The 12801-nt window shown below is 35.6% G+C and overlaps 1 protein-coding gene across 6 annotated transcripts in view, besides 1 other annotated feature; it reads right to left on the reverse strand.

The window, feature by feature from the left end:
* The window catches only part of SESTD1 (SEC14 and spectrin domain containing 1), a 163155-nt gene that overhangs the window by 24516 nt on the left and 125838 nt on the right, over nt 1-12801 (reverse strand). For all 6 annotated transcript variants that reach the window (XR_007084411.1, NM_178123.5, XM_047446274.1 and 3 more), the window contains one exon: nt 6111-6233. Coding sequence is in view for 5 of the 6 variants with exons in the window: in NM_178123.5 (NP_835224.3) it covers nt 6111-6233 (123 nt within the window). In the remaining variant the exon portion in view is untranslated. The remainder of the gene's footprint in view (nt 1-6110; nt 6234-12801) is intronic.
* Nucleotides 12326-12495: an enhancer, noted in NCBI's record as "experimental_56714 CRE fragment used in MPRA reporter constructs". NCBI's record gives its function as "activates a minimal promoter by MPRAs in K562 erythroleukemia cells, with activity observed for the non-introgressed 2:180003331 variant allele {active_cell/tissue: K562}" and the evidence as "EXISTENCE:reporter gene assay evidence [ECO:0000049][PMID:34662402]".

Genomic DNA, 12801 nt, shown 5'->3' on the forward strand with positions numbered 1-12801 from the left:
CATTCTTTTTTTAATCCATTCCAATCAGGATTTTGTTTTCCCACCCTTCTGAAACCAATTGTCAAATTCACCAAAAAATTCCATCTTGCCACAAATCCAATGGTCAATTCTCAGTCTTTATTTTATTGAACCTCTCAACAAACAGCTGCATTTGGCACAAGTAAGCACTTCCTCCTCCTTCAAATGGCCTTTTCTCTTGTTTTCTGAGACACAACAGCTCCTTTTAGCCTTCTTTGCTGGCTCTCCTCCCTCTTTTTGCACTTAAAGTTTAGGTTGACCCAAGGCTCAGTTTTCCAGAGGCTCTCTTTTCTTCTCACTGGGTTTGGATGACTTCACCTAGTCCCATGCCTTTAAATAGATCTATAGGCTAAGAATTACCAAATTAATATAGGCTTTAAATATATCTATAGGCTAAGAACTACCAAGTTAATATAGGCTCTAAATACATCTATAGGCTAAGAATTACCAAATTAATCATCAACACTGACCCCTCCCATGAACCCCAGATACTGATACCCAACTGCCCACTAGCCACCTTCATCTGGATGACTACTAGATATCTAAAATCTAACCTGCCACCAAAGACACTGATTCACTATCCTCCCAACCTGTTCCTCTCGCAGTCCTCCCTGCCTTAGTAGCTGCTAAGGCCAAAAGCCTGATTCTTTCATCAGCAAGTCTTGCTGGCTCAACCTCATCAACTTCTATCAATTCTCATTACTTCTAATGCCTCCATCTATCAGCCCCCCGCCTTCCATTTTCATTGCTAGTCTCTGTTCCCTATTTTCCACACAATAGCCGGTGATTTGCTTAAAACATAAATTAATTATCTGTCCAAAAGTTTCAAATAACTTCACATAACATTTAAAATAAATTTCAAGTTTCTTTTCATGGGCTAAAAGACATTACATGTTTTGGCTCCTGACTTCCTCTAAAACTTTATTTTCTGTGACTCTCCTTTGCTCCCTGTACTCTAGCCACACCAACATTCTTGCTGTTCCTCAATCATCTTCCTGTGCTGGGGTGTTTCTACTGCTGTGTCCTCTATCTGAATTGCCCTTTGTTTGGATTACTTCTCGACATCATTTCAAGGTTTCTGATTAAATGTCATCTCCTCAGAGAGGCCTTTCCTAAAATCTATACCTATATTGCTTTCCGCTCCCCAACTTGAATGTAAATTCCATATAGTAAGACAGTATTATATGGCAAAAGCCTAGAACAACACATGACACATAGTATGTGCTCAATTAACATTCATTGATTGAAGGTATAAAACATTAATCACTGTAGATTTACTGACATTACATTAAGTAGGTAACAGAGGGTGATTTTGTCACTCAGGGAACATGTGGCAGTGTCTGGAAACATTTTGGGTTATCACAACTGAGGAATGGGGATGCCACTGCATGCAGTAAGTAGAAGCCAGTGATGCTGCAAAATACCCTACCATGTGCAGGACAGCCCTTACGACAGACATTTATCTGGCCCAAAGTCTCAAGAGTCTGCTGAGGATGAGAAATCCTCCTATATCCAATGGTGATGATAATATCTGTCTTACCTTGTTTATCAGTTATTGTTTGGATTTAACTCAATAACAAGCATAGAATATTTTTAAACTACATAGTTTATAATGGTTAACAGAGACTATTTTAAAGTAGAAAATATTACCTCAGAAAATTATCACTGTCATGCTCTAAAATATAAAAGGATTTCAATACCTTATTCATAGTACTTACATATCATTAAATGCTCTAAATAAATAGGCTTAACTCTTTGAAGACGTAATAGCAACGATTCTGAGAAAAGCAGTGAAGGATTAGAGTCCTAGAATAGCACTTTTCAGAGCTACCAGCATTAGACCACTTGGGGTGTTTATTAAAAATGTCTAAGCTTCACTCCTGACTTACTAAATCAGTATCTGGAGTTGGCCCTGGAATATATATTTCAACAAGCATCTCTGATGACTCTTATGCCTGTTAAGGTTTAGGAATCACCACTGTGGAGCTAATTATTTCCTGGTTTGAATTTGTAAAATATAGGCTCCAGCAACCTGACCAGGGATGTAAATACATTGTGAGGACTAGTATGTCTCAAGAAATTAACACCTGAAATTAGAGACATTGATATTACCGATTGAGGTTGCCATAAAGAAATAGTCTCTCTGGGATGTGGAGAGCAAAAAAATCTGGCTAATACATTTGCATGTATTTAAAAAAAGTCATCCAAATGTTTCTTCCTAAAAAACGGGTATGTACGGCCGGGCACAGTGGCTCATGCCTGTAATCCCAGCACTTTGGGAGGTCAAGATGGGCAGATCACGAGGTCAGGAGATGGAGACTATCCTGGCCAACAGGGTGAAGCCCCGTCTCTACTAAAAATACAAAAATTAGCTGGGTGTGGTGGCGCATGCCTGTAATCCCAGCTACTCTGGAGGCTGAGGCAGGAGAATCGCTTGAACCTGGGAGGCAGAGGTTGCAGTGAGCTGAGATAGCACCACTGCACTCCAGGCTGGCGAGAGAGCTAGACACTGTCTCAAAAAAAAAAAAAAGAAAAGAAAAAAAAAAAAACCCAGTAGAATGTAGACTGCCTAGAACCTTAGGTGTATTTTGTTCACTTACAGCCATTCTCCGGTCTGTCTCTTATGTATATTTAACTGTGTAGAAAATGATTATTTTATAGCAAAATAAAAAAACACCAATATATGGGATTTGGATTGAGATGGTAAGAAAAGGGCTTGAAGGTTCACATTTAGGACACAAGCAGTCAGGATTGACAATGCAATCATGTTGGCAGTGACGCATACTTGGTGAAATGATGGATATTTATACTTTATACCATGAAATGTGAATCCATATGTAGGCAGAAGGAAACAGTGCCAACTCGGGTTAAAAAGGTGATTATACTCAGACTACACATTAGGAGAAATGAGTCTTGATTCGCCAGGTAGACCTGTTCTGCATAATGCACCAGAGAAAGTGGTTTCTTTGTAGACCAGAACTCAGCACTATGAGATGGTGGGATAGTGACAAAATTCTGAAGTAGTTTCAGATATTTATGCTCCTCGATGTTCCTATCACACACGCTTTTCCTACCACACACTTTCTTCAACCCAAAACATAAAATTAGATTTTTGAACTAAACTGCTTTTAAATTTATTGTCAGTTACTATAACCATTTTCATGTACCTTATTTTTTTTGTTGTGTTCTATTAAAAAACCAAGTTAACTTCTAATTACCAATCCTTGAACTAGAACTACAGGTTGGCAGAAATTTCATTTTTCTATGTATTAAAACTTAATATCCTAACAAATTTGGGGTTTTTAGCTTTATTTCTGCATTATGCTTTTATATGGACTCTAAAATTTAATATATGACATAAAATTTAATATATGACATTGAGCTGGTAATGCAAGATTGTATGTTAAAAGTTTTCTCAAATTCTACCGTTAACAGCTGTCAATGCCAGAAATTAGTCATACTTTCACAAGACTTGAACAATTCCAATAATGCTTTAATCTGTTAACTCTTAGTTACAGAGAGAAAAGAAAGCTTTTAATAAAATATTAGAATATCTTAAACATCATAAGCTAAAATATTCATCCAGCATCAACCAACCTATTCTCAGGGTGACAATGCAGTGCCACCTATTGGCTAAAACAGCACAACTGGCTTTTTAAAAATATGTCAAAAGTGGGAAGAATAGTGTAATGAACTCCTTCCTATCCAGCTTCAATAATGATCAATTCATGGGTAATTCTGTTTCACATACACTCCCATCCATTCAATCTGTTCCTACCTCCCAATTCTGAAACAAAACCCAAATATCACACATGATTTAAGGAAATAAAATCTCTTGATAGCCATCAATGTTTCTTTAGGTCATGTCTATAAATGCAGATGTCAATGTATATGTACATTCCTAAGTATTAAAAGTACAAGAATGAAAAACTACTGTAGCTTAACCATATCTGTAAAATTTAGTAGCTTTCTCTAAGAGACAGCTAGAGAAAGGATCCCCCCTGGGTATCAAGAGATCTGTGTCTTAACAATAGTCCAACTATTCACTGATCAAAAAACGTAGCTTCCCAGTTTTTTCATCTATAAAGTAAGATGAAGATATTAGAATAATCTATAAGGTATTTTGCAATTCAAAAGTTTTATATATTGGTTCCACATTATAAGTAAGCTTAAGCACATGGGAAGGGCCACCCTTAAGCGATGTTTCTTTAAGCTGATTTTGAAAACCTTATAAATATATTAAAAATACAAAACCAACATCTGAACATAGCAATTTCTATGTACATCATCTGCAATTTCATCCATACTATACGCAATATGAAATTTGCTTTTGAAGTCTTTTTGTAAACTTAGAGTACAGTACAGTATGTATACAATCCAATTTCTAACTGTAATTATTTATCTTGGCATTTAAAAAAAATAATAAAATATAGATAAATCCTGTCTTTAGAATCCTCATGTGCCATGTGTCCTTCCTAAAAAGAACTTTTGGAATACTTTCATAACTAAATCCCCTTAGGTGAAGTCTAGAATGTTCTAGAGTAAATACAGTTTTTTAGGAACTAAAGAGAGGAACAAATTGTAGACTCTAACTATAGTAACATGTTCTAGAACAGTCTACCAGGTTCAAACAAATCACAATCCATGTTAAAAAAAAAATCAAAACATTATTTTAAAAGTACCAAGAGAATTAAAAGATTATATCCTCAGGAACAGGGTTTGTAATATGATTATTTTAGTATAAAAGGAAGAACCATTATGTTGGAACCTGTGAAATGCATAAAATAAATCGATTTTCAATTATGAGATTTCATTTTCAAGTTTTTTACAAGTACTAATTAGAAAAATTGCAAGGAATATATATGTAGTGCCTTTAGACAATTCCAAATCTTGTAATATCTCTTATTATTCCTTCAGCTAGATTACAACTGCTTTAGGGTATAGTAGTAGATTTTCTGCCAATACCAGTAATTGCTATACCTGATTTACAGAACATTACAAAGAAAGCAATATGAGGAAACTAAGCAAAATGGAATACATTTAGAAGAAAAATAAGAATCAGATATTGTTAAATTCTAGTAAAGATGAGATTTACTCATTCATTCAAATTTATTCCCAAGCAAACCATATTACTTATTCTTTAATCTTGTTTAGTTAAAAATGGACATTTCCTAATACTATCCAACATAATTAGAGGAAAGAAGAAACGTTGCAGAAATTAATGTTCCGACGGTACTTAATGCTCATCTGGGTCCAGAGTTTAACATTTTGACCACCTTTTTTAAGACAACCTAAGGAGAAGGGAATTAATGGATTCAAATTTTATTTTTCCAATTTTGTATTTAATCTATTTTAAATTACCAAAGTAATATGACCTTAGGGAGAGGGGGGTGAGCTACCCCGTCCACAAACTGGATGATCTCTTTCTCAGTAATGAAGAATTAACTGTAACAGAGCAGGAGATTAACGAACACCAGCTTCTTTCACATAACAAGTTGTTAAATTTTAAATTATCTTTAACAATTATTATCTATAATCTGCTTAAGAATCTATTTATTTCCCAATTTTATACCTGTGATTTGTCTGATTACCCCTTTCACAAATACAAAAGGGACCCCTAAATGCTCAGAGAATGGAAAAATATTCTGCACCCTCTGGACTTACTCTCCATCAGTTGTGTTTAATGCAGCAATTCTGCTATCACTCTCAGGCATTTAATTGTACTATATACTCCCAATAAAGTGGGGGTGAGGGGGACTTGAAAACAGAAGTTTCTGTCACAGAGACTACAGATGAAAGCTCTATTTTTGTATTATCACTCTTTTTTCTGTCACTGTAGCTTTTAAAATTTCATGCAAATTGTGCTTCTATAAAAATATAATTAAACTGCATTAGAGACAAAACCAAAAACAACCTTCTAATTAACATGTACTAAGTAATCAAAATGTACTTTATGACCTCTAGGCACTTAACAAACTGTACTTCATGCCCCATACCAAAGTTTGCAGCAACTTATCACTCAGTACCACATATGCTACTAATTACCCACGTTCATAATATCATTGTAACTTGCAGAGGAAAAAGCCTCTCACACTGTGCTGGCTCTCAATCTCTTCGTGTTTCTGCTGTAGGGCCTGGGAGGCCCTAATGGAGTCTCCAATGCCCCACTGGGCTCTTAGTTGTTCTGATCCAGGCCCTTCTAGCCAGTTCACCACCTATAAACAAAAGTTGAGATAACATTTTTTAAAGAATCAGAAACTTTTCAAACTTTCATTCTAACTTATTTTTCCCCTCCCAAAGTTCCCCAATTATTTTTAATGTAAATTATTTACATTCTATCACATAGGCAGTAAATGTTTCTTTTGGAACTACACAGCTATAATGTGACAACATTTTCAAAACTTAAATGTGGAAGAATGTACACTGTAGCATCACAAGCTTTCAGCTATCTGATTATCTTTCAGGCTAAAAGAAATCTGGAATGCTTCTATAAAAGAGGATTAAAAATTAACTTACGAAAAGAGAATCAGAGAATCATAAGATTTAGAGTTGGAAGAAACATCAGAAATGATATCAGTCAAAGTTCTTAACTAACATTTAAGAAAACTGAGTTTCAAACAGATTAAGTGACTTGCCCAAGATAACATAATCCATTATTGAAAAACTGGACTAACAGCCATATGTTCTAACTCATAGTCTAATGTTCTTCCCAAGCATTGAAAAAACTGACTGAATTAACTACTATAAAGTTAATATACCACTTTATCACTTCAAAAATAAAATTAAAAACTAATTAGAATTATGCTAATGTAATAAATACCCTCTTGGACTCTTCTTAGGATCAACCAACATTCAGACCCACAAAAGGCCCCACTGGCACCAGTCTGCTAGTAAGGATATAGGGTGGGAACTATAGTTTGCCAGGATGACAGCATCAGGAGTTCTTCAGCTGAGTCCCTCAAGCAGGTATAAGGAGATGAGATCAGTATGGGGCAGATATGGGAGACACTCTGGCATCAAAACATGATACCCCACAGGACTATGCCCATTATGAGTCACTAAACTCAAGGATCCCCACCCCAAGTTATGCCTTCCATCATATATTAATAATTCTCCCAGTCCAGATCTGGAATAATGTTTACTATAAGCAATATTGCCTAGTAACGTAGTTGACATTCCAATTTTTAATCAGGTCTTCAGGGGAACAGAGCTAAAGGGTTAAGCAAAGATCAAGTTCTCATGCAGAAGGAGAGGATTGTGCTGACACTCTACCCACAATCATATACACTCTGAAACTACAAACACATTGTGGAGTAATTTTAGTGGAAAAAATGGTATTACCAAGCTTTACCTTTTGCCAAATTAGAAAAAGGAATTTAAGAATAGATGTATGGTTATATCCTAAATCTAAACTCAGGATAGCTCCCAAGAAGTGAATGGGGATATCTCTGCAGCATAATATTATAGACCCAGTGGGTAGGCTTAACGTAGAAAAGAGCAGTGCAGATATACATTTCTGCTTTTACCAGGTTAAAAAAATATATTTCTAAATCTAACAGTTTATGGATCTTTTTATAATTATATAAAAATACCACATCATAAAGAAAAATCACATAAGCGCTCAGCCCTGTTTGGATATCCACAGATTTTCATGCCTGAATTCAACCAATCACAGATTGAATATATTTGGGAAAAAAAATCAAGCACAAAAAAATAACAATACAACAATTTAAAGATACAAATAATAAGCCAGTACACTATAACAGCTATTTTCATAGCATCTGCATTGTAGTAGATATTATAAGTAATCTAGAGATGATTTAATGTATATGAGAGTATCCATAGGTTATATGCAAATATTATGCCATTTTATATGAGACTTGAACATCTTTGATCTTGGTATCCACAGTCTGCAGGGCGTCCTTGAACCAATCCACCACAAATACCAAGGGACAACCATATTCTATTTCCTTCCATTAATTTTTCACCTGCGTAAGGGTTTTCATATGCTACTCCAGATTTCAGTGTTATAGCCAATTCTCATAGATAACAAGTAGTTTTCATCCCGTTTTTCACTTAGCATTAAACTATAATACTTTAATGATTTTTCCACTTGGCTATTGTTATTATAACATAATTTTCAATGACTTTGCAAATCCTTTTTTCAGAAGGCCAATCCTGTTGCCTGCCTGCCTCCATCTCTTCTATCTGTCCAACCAAGCAACCAATCAACCCACTCTTATTAAGAGCTAAGTAACGTACTGCCTCAAATAACTATTGTACCTGCTATCAATACTTCAATTCTCTATTGTCGGGAACATAGGATGTTTCCAATTTCCATCAATTCTAAGTAATTCTATGACTAACACATATATAGCAGTTATATATAATGTTTTTTTTTCTCTGTTTTATTTTCCCAGAAAAGGTTTCCAATAGAGATTGGAATGGTTTTCCAATAGAGATCTTCTTGGGTCCAATGATGATGTAATACTAATGCTTGTTAATATACTTTACAAAATTGCTCTCTAAAGCTCTTGTTTCTATCTGAAATACCCAATTAATGACAGTTTGAACTGTAAATAACCTCTACAAGGTATACAAACTATTGACTGTTAATATACTTTATAAAATTGCTCTCTAAAACTCGTTTCTATCTGAAACATCCACCAATTAATGATAGTTTGATCTACAATAACCTCTATAACATATACAAACTATTGGTTTTTTTGTTGTTGTTTTTTGTTTGTTTTGGAGATGGAGTCTTGCTCTGTTGTCCAGGCTAGAGTGCAGTGGCATGATCATGGCTCACTGCAACCTCTGCCTCCCAGGTTCAAGCGATTCTCCTGTCTCAGCCTCCTGAGTAGCTGGGATTACAGGCGCCCGCCACCACACCTGGCTAATTTTTCTATTTTTAGTAGAGATGGGGTTTCACCATCTTGGCCAGGCTGGTCTCAAACTCCTGACCTCGTGATGCACCTGCCTCGGCCTCCCAAAGTGCTGGGATTACAGGTGTGAGCCACCGCCCCCCGGCCCAAACTGACTATTGTTTTTAAAATACTTCTGCCAATTGAAAAAACAGAAATCTTTCCATATTTTTTAAAGATTAGTGATTGAATACATTGCAAATGTTTGCTTATTCAAGGTATGTGATATTTTGTGATTTATCTCTTCATGTTCTTTGTTCATTTATGTTCTAGAGTCTTAAAGAATTAATATATAAACTTGTCCCTTCTCTTTATAAGGCTTAATACTAGAGAGAAGGCTAGGCACAGTGGCTCATACCTGTAATCCCAGCACTTTGGGAGGCTGAGGTGGGCAGATGGCTTGAGCTCAGGAGTTCAAGACCAGCCTGAGCAACATAGTGAGACCCTGTCTCTACTAAAAATACAAAAATTAGCCAGGCGTGGTATGCACATCTATAGTCCCAGCTGCTCAGGAGGCTGAGATTGGAGAATCGTTTGAGCCTGGGAGGCGGAGGTTGCAGTAAGCTGAGACTGCACCACTGCACTCCAGCCTGGGTGACAGAGTGAGACCCTGTCTCAAGAAAAACAAAACCCAAAAATCTAGACAGCAAAACTCAAAAACAAAAAAGTCAAAGTATTATTGTTGACTCAGTGGAACAGCCTAAGTGCTATAACTTTCTATTGGCTAAACACTGTTTACACAGCGCTAAGTTCATTTTCAAAACTGTATTATCAGATGCTCTTTAGAGTGCAATGGTTTTTTCCTCAACACATCCACTTTTTCTGCTTTACTCTTTTGTATGAGTTATCTTTGGAGGGCTAGGGTACTAGGATTCTGTTTCTCTCTGCTAGCTTGGGGAAAGTATCATTTTTTCACGAAAGAGACAGGTAAGCAGTGCGATATAAAGAAAGCCCTAGCCATGATTCTGAATTCTGAATTCTCATTCTGCCACTACTGGTGGGTCTGAATTCCGGCTCTGCTTCTTCTAGTTGAAAGACTTTGGTTTCTCATCTTTTAAATGATGTTAATGATACCTACAGTACAGGGCTGTTGTCAGGATTATGACACTCATTATATGTAAGACAGCACATTAATGATACTAATAATTGTTAGCCTCTATGCTTTTCTTACTTTTTCTGTAGCCTAGTTCCCTCCGTCCACTAACTCTTTATGGAGTTTATTTCACATCTGCATTTTACAATAACAACCCTGAGTTTCTTGAGAAAGTCCCTGAACTACTGTATCCGACACTTTAAGAAACAGAAATAAAAAGAACGAGTTTTAAGGAAACATAGGTAAACATTTTAGAACAATTTTCCATGTCTTTTTTGGGAATCAATTGCTTCTCATTTATCACTATGTGTTACAAATACAGATATAGAAACATAGTGATAAAATGACTTTTAAGTATTTTAAATAATGTAATTATTTTACTAGAAATATCTAAGTTCTAAAAATAAAAGTGGAACAAATGCATATAAAAAATTTCACTAACAATGTATAGTTTTTAGAAACTTAAGACATCATTAAACATTTAGACTTTGATTTTAGAATAATCTAGAAACAAAAGAAGCAGGTTAATATAAATCGTGATAGCTGGGGATAAACAATTCATTAACATGGAACTTTTAAAATGCTGTAAATTGAAAAATAAATCTTAAATAAAGCAAAGATATCTCTTTGCCTCAAAAAACCAGTTACATAGTAATGGACATATATATGTATATATATATGGCCTTAATATAGGCTGAAAGTAATTTCCCTTAGTATACAACATCAGTAATGTAGACACAGTAAATATGCCTATTTCTAATAAAAATGATGCAAATTGAGGTTGATGCCCCAGTAAACAAGTCTATTTAAATGCATTAATAATGGCAGTTTGCCAAACTAGGTTATAACTTAATTTCAACCAGGACATCTTGCTCAATCAATCTGAATATTAACTTACTGGAAAAACAGTTCTATCCCCAATCCATATCAATGTGACCCTTCAAATGGTTACATTTACATGCAAAGTATAACCTTGGAGCCATGCTTTTAGAATCCACCATGAAAAATATTTACACTGGCCAAAAATGCTTGTGACTATCCATGCTTCTTGCATGGCTAGGCTCATTTTTAAAAACTGCATGACAGAACATGTAGAAGTATGCAAAGTCAAACCAGGCAGAAGGGCATGTCAAGCAAATGTCAACCATCTAACCTGGAGAAAGAGTATGGAGAACTGAGAATACAGCCTCCAGCTGTATGCTTATGCAATGCAGTGTATTCTATTTGGCATCTATGATTCCTCTCTACAGAGGAAGAAAAGCACATGGATGATTCTAGAAATAACATTTGCAGTGCTGGCAGTAATTACTGCCACAATAAATAATGAGCATAATGATAGCACATTTCAGTGAAGTGGCACTGTGTGCTATCCAGAAGCATGTGAAATCTAATTTTTAACTGTAACAGCAGCAGCAGTATGGAGAATCTCTGCATACCACATGAAGTCTTGTGCTACCAATTTGAACTGTGGGGGAATCACGGATAAATATCATGGTTATTACTTATATAATTTATCCATCAAAGCAATTGATTCCTCTTGCATTGTTTTCAGTGATGAGTCATTAAAAACAAAAGAAGTTTGAAACAATTCAATTTTCACTGATTTAACAGAGATACTCAGTTTATAATTATCTTTAAACAAGCAAAAAAATTTTCACATTTTCATCAAATTTGTAAGACTGAAAATAGTATGATTTGTGCTCTGTGTGACCAACATATGATCAATGTTACTATATAGTTCAATATATATTATCATATAGTAATCATTTTCGCAAGGGATATAGATATTTCCTTAAAATGTGACCTGTGAAAAACAGAGTACAGAAAACATTATATGCTGAATATTATTGTTCAAACAAATTCACTTGTTATCCTGATAAAGAAAACTGAATATGAAGTTTACCAGTTTTTAACAGTAATCTCGTTACCATCATCACCATCATTATAAATATAATAATCGTCATCTCCTTTCTCCAGTTTCTTCCTTACCCAGTTGAGCTGGTCTGTCATTTAAAAATGTGTTTGCCAATACATTAACGCCTTTGCCCCTCTGTCTTTCTGTCATAATCACTTAACCCATTTAGCAAAGTAAAAATGCTGGATAAATCCTGTCACCCATGTTTTTGGTGCCTGAACCTCAACAGCCAGCCATGAATTGTCAGATAGGGTTACATAAAAAGCCAGAAAGGTTCTGCAATACATTCAAGATCAACACTACCCCAAAATACAGCTACATTTTTGTGATGTGAAAGTTGTCCGAATCAAAATGGAGTCACTAATATTGGGGGAAAAATAAAGAACCCTGACAAATAGTGCCAGAGAAAGCCATGGTGAGAGGTTCTCAGGCTTGTATGCCTGCTAACAAAAACTATCACAAAGGACTGCAAAAATCAAAACTATACACAAAGGCATTGCAACTTCACACAAAAAATACTTCTGCAGCCTGGGAAGCATGGTGAAACCCCATTTCTACATAAAATACACGCCAAAAAAACAGCTGGGCATGGTGGCATGTGTCTGTAGTCCCAGCTACTCAGGAGGCTGAGGTGGGAGGGTCACCTGAGCCTGGGAGGTCAAGGCTGCAATGAGCCATGATCAGGTCTCTGCACTCCAGCCTGGGTAATAGACTGAAACCCTGTCTCAAAAAAAAAAAAAAAAAAAAAAAAAAAAAATCCTTCCACAAGGACATCTGTCCAGCAATTGCCTGTCCAATATCAGAGGCTCATCGCCCTTGTTATTGATCTTTAGAACCAAAGACAATTATTT

The sequence above is a fragment of the Homo sapiens genome, chromosome 2 (genome assembly GCF_000001405.40).
Source record: "Homo sapiens chromosome 2, GRCh38.p14 Primary Assembly".
Classification (NCBI taxonomy): domain Eukaryota; kingdom Metazoa; phylum Chordata; class Mammalia; order Primates; family Hominidae; genus Homo; species Homo sapiens.